Source organism: Homo sapiens, chromosome 1 (assembly GCF_000001405.40).
Source record: "Homo sapiens chromosome 1, GRCh38.p14 Primary Assembly".
NCBI classification, from domain to species: domain Eukaryota; kingdom Metazoa; phylum Chordata; class Mammalia; order Primates; family Hominidae; genus Homo; species Homo sapiens.
In genome coordinates, this window is record NC_000001.11 from 60636926 (window position 1) to 60641641 (window position 4716).

The window sequence follows — 4716 nt, forward strand, 5'->3', positions numbered from 1 at the left end:
TTATTTGAGATCAGCCATAACACGGAGAAAAAAATCACATCAGGTTTTAACCGCCATAAGTACCAAATAGTTATGCTTCCTGCATTTATAAACAGATATCTTTTGGCAAGTGAATCAAAAAGGCCTCTACAAGACATGCAATTCTGGGCTTCAATCCATTCACTCTGTGAATTAATTGACTTTATTTGAACTCTACTGTTTTCAGTTGGAGAATTCACTGTGAACATGTTGTACATATCTCAAATATCAAATAGCAAATGCACTGCAGCCAGATTCTGAAACAGAGCCAGAAATTGTTTATTAATCAGACAGGGGTTTCTCCATGATTAGGAAAGACAACTAAGGGATAAATACATAAAATAAACAGCTAAACTCTGGAATGTCTTCCACATTTCTCCTTTCACTTTGGAAGCAAAAGCTCCACTGGAAACCAAGTAATTGTTCTCACTAGGGGCAGGGGGTGATACATGACACCTGCTTTCAAAGCAACATTTGCCCCTAAACCTCATTTCCAATCTGTTTTTCATATATTACTCAAAATAGTAATTTGCCAGCAATAGATTCATAAATCCAGTTGTCTTTCTTCTCTTACAACACCAATAATGTTACATTTTAATCTTTTATTGCAAATAAAAAGTTTCTTCGAGCTGACAGGCCCAGAAGTGAATATTCTGGTTAATGTCTAAAGCTATTACATTAAAACGTTAAAGCATATAGTGTTCTAAGCAGGATTTATCAGAGCTAGCAAAAGATAAATACTCTGGGTCTCTTAATCAAATAAATTGGTTACATAGATAGACAGATAGATAGATAGATAGATAGATAGATAATATAGATAGATAATAGACAGATCACGCTGGATAATAGCCATAGCCAAAGGCAAACCACAGGTCTAGTCTTGGCCACCTGCCACTGCTACTGGAACTGTGATGAATCTGACTCCATGAATGTTTCCTCTGTCTCTGTTTTACATTCTCAGATCCAAGATCCTCTAATTGTTTTTTCATCTCCCTTTCATGACCAATCCATGGACTAGGCAACACAGCACAGGATCACTGCCTTCAGACTAGACAACACAGCACAGGGTCACCACTTGGAAGATTCCCTAATGGTAAGGGTCCCTACAAAAGGAAGGAGAGGTCAGCAAATAGGAAATGGTTAAGCCTGGATTGCAACCCCAGAGGCTGTCCTCATCACTAATAGGTAATTTGAAAATCACAAGCAGGAGTCCAGATGTCAACCTTCTTCTAGGTACACATTGGTGACTAAAGTAACAGAGAGTCTCAAGGAAATGTTAGTTCATAGGGGGAAATGATGAGATATTGAGAAAGATCAATAAAGGGAAAGAAATACTAAAAACTGAACAATGTATAGCAGTGGCAGCAGAATAAATGAAGCAAACAGAACAATAATTATTAAAAGTATTATTAAATATTTATACAGAGAAAGAAAGAGACATTATAGAGAGCATAACAGATGAACAAATCAGGAATAAGCAAATATGGAACATAATTATTTGGATTTATTGGTAATAAGAACACCATTACTATAATAAAAAAATTGATAGGCTGAATTACAGAATATAGTGCCAAAGTTATTTAGTGGGTCAAAGATCCACGTGAAGAATTATCACTGGAGGTATTAAGAAAGTTCAAATAAGAACAATAAATAAAAAGTTTTGTAGAAGAGATATGTAGAAGGGTCAATATTTAATATTAATCCCAAATGACATAAGTAGAAGTAAAAAATGTATTTGAGGGAATAGTGACCAATAATTTGACAAAATGAAAAGATTTATGACACTTCAAATTCAAAAGGATCTAGAGTTCAGTACAGGATAGATTTCTTCAAGCCCTACCTCTATTAAAAAGAATTTTTAAAGCTCCCAAGACTCAAAGATAAATTTTTAAAATATTAATTCCAGAATATTAAAACAATTTTCTAAAATAGTGAAGAATCAAATTAATATCAAATTCTAAATAGCTACACTACGTATGAGGAGAAAATGACATAAAATTTTTGTTTTGAAGGAAAAGACCTTGAGTCAACTTGAATATCTAGTTGAATTATAATTTATATATGAGAGTAAACATTACCCAACTTTTGAACTAGTAAAAAAAAAAAATCTTAATAAAGGGAATCAAAATAAAGAAGGAGAAGGGAGAGGAAAATTAAGAGAAAAGAAAGAGAAAAAATACGTCAATTGATATATAAAAATAACATAGTAGGAATAAGTACTGATGCTATTTATAATTAAAATAGATTACTCCAAGGATACATATTTCCATAATAGTTTTATAAAAAATTCAGCAATGTCGAAGATAAGAGACTTGAACTGAGAAGAAACTAAATGATTGAAAATAAACAGATATGCCAAACAAATACTGAAAAACAGAATGCTAGAGCTTCAACTTTCATATGAGGCAAAACAGAACTTAAAAACAAACAAGAACACTATGAGATATAAGTAATAATTCACAGAGTAGGAATATGTAATAAATCATGAACACATATGCACCTAATAACATATTTTCAGGATATACAAAGCAACAATTTACATGATGATGCAGCAGATAAAATTAAAACTTTAGCTGGAAATGTTAATGTTTTTATCACAGACACTGAAAAAATGAAGTAGACAAAAATGTAAACATTATAGACAATTTGAAACATAAACAAAGCTTTACACTGATTAAATAAAGGTTATTTTTTTTTAAATGTGCTTGGAAAGTTTATAAATTCAGCCAAATAATAAAGTCTCAGCAAAAGCAAAAAACGTTTATTATGTAAACTATGTTATCTAATTGTTATACTATAATATCATAAATAAATTACAAAAGGATAATTTTGAAATTCCATATGTCCAATAATTAAAATAATACTACTAAATCACAGGTAAAAATTAAGTCAGAAAGGAAATTAGTAAAATTTAGATCTGAAAGACAATAAAAAGCCAAATGACAAAATTTGTGAGTTACAGCTATAGCAATATTTAAAATAAAAATTATAAATACATTTATTTTAAAAATAAGGAAGATTAAAAACTAATGAACTAAGAATTTTTAAAAATGTATAAGAGGATTACCAGGAGAGGAGCCAAGATGGCCGAATAGCAACAGCTCCGGTCTACAGCTCCCAGCGTGAGCGACGCAGAAGACGGGTGATTTCTGCATTTCCATCTGAGGTACTGGGTTCATCTCACTAGGGAGTGCCAGACAGTGGGCGCAGGTCAGTGGGTGCGCGCACCGTGCACGAGCCGAAGCAGGGCGAGGCATTGTCTCACTTGGGAAGCGCAAGGGGTCAGGGAGTTCCCTTTCCGAGTCAAAGAAAGGGGTGACGGACGCACCTGGAAAATCGGGTCTCTCCCACCCGAATATTGCGCTTTCGGACCGGCTTAAAAAACGGCGCACCGCGAGATTATATCTTGCACCTGGCTAGGAGGGTCCTACGCCCACGGAGTCTCGCTGATTGCTAGCACAGCAGTCTGAGATCAAACTGCAAGGCCGCAGCAAGGCTGGGGGAGGGGCGCCCGCCATTGCCCAGGCTTGCTTGGGTAAACAAAGCAGCCGGGAAGCTAGAACTGGGTGGAGCCCACCACAGCTCAAGGAGGCCTGCCTGCCTTTGTAGGCTCCACCTCTGGGGGCAGGGCACAGACAAATAAAAAGACAGCAGTAACCTCTGCAGACTTAAATGTCCCTGTCTGACAGCTTTGAAGAGAGCAGTGGTTCTCCCAGCATGCAGTTGGAGATCTGAGAACGGGCAGACTGCCTCCTCAAGTGGGTCCCTGACCCCTGACCCCCGAGCAGCCTAACTGGGAGGCACCCCCCGGCAGGGGCACACTGACACCTCACACGGCAGGGTATTCCAACAGACCTGCAGCTGAGGGTCCTGTCTGTTAGAAGGAAAACTAACAAACAGAAAGGACATCCACACCAAAAACCCATCTGTACATCACCATCATCAAAGATCAAAAGTAGATAAAACCACAAAGATGGGGAAAAAACAGAACAGAAAAACTGGAAACTGTAAAATGCATAGTGCCTCTCCTCCTCCAAAGGAACACAGTTCCTCACCAGCAACGGAACAAAGCTGGATGGAGAATGACTTTGACGAGCTGAGAGAAGAAGGCTTCAGATGATCAAATTACTCTGAGCTATGGGAGGACATTCAAACCAAAGGCAAAGAAGTTGAAACCTTTGAAAAAAATTTAGAAGAATGTATAACTAGAATAACCAATACAGAGAAGTGCTTAAAGGAGCTGATGGAGCTGAAAACCAAGGCTCGAGAACTACGTGAAGAATGCAGAAGCCTCAGGAGCCGATGCGATCAACTGGAAGAAAGGGTATCAGCAATGGAAGATGAAATGAATGAAATGAAGCGAGAAGGGAAGTTTAGAGACAAAAGAATAAAAAGAAATGAGCAAAGCCTCCAAGAAATATGGGACTATGTGAAAAGACCAAATCTATGTCTGATCGGTGTACCTGAAAGTGATGGGGACAATGGAACCAAGTTGGAAAACACGCTGCAGGATATTATCCAGGAGAACTTCCCCAATCTAGCAAGGAAGGCCAACGTTCAGATTCAGGAAATACAGAGAACGCCACAAAGATACTCCTCGAGAAGAGCAACTCCAAGACACATAATTGTCAGATTCACCAAAGTTGAAATGAAGGAAAAAATGTTAAGGGCAGCCAGAGAGAAAGGTCGGGTTACCCT

The 4716-nt window shown here is 37.4% G+C and overlaps 1 long non-coding RNA gene across 1 annotated transcript; it reads right to left on the bottom strand.

The window, feature by feature from the left end:
• Positions 1–273: 273 nt before the first annotated feature.
• On the bottom strand, positions 274–3578 carry LOC124904193 (uncharacterized). Its single transcript, XR_007066141.1, has 2 exons — positions 3347–3578; positions 274–3201 (listed from the first exon to the last, which is right to left on the bottom strand). It is a non-coding gene; the product is annotated as an uncharacterized LOC124904193 (long non-coding RNA).
• Between the last annotated feature and the right edge of the window lie 1138 nt (positions 3579–4716).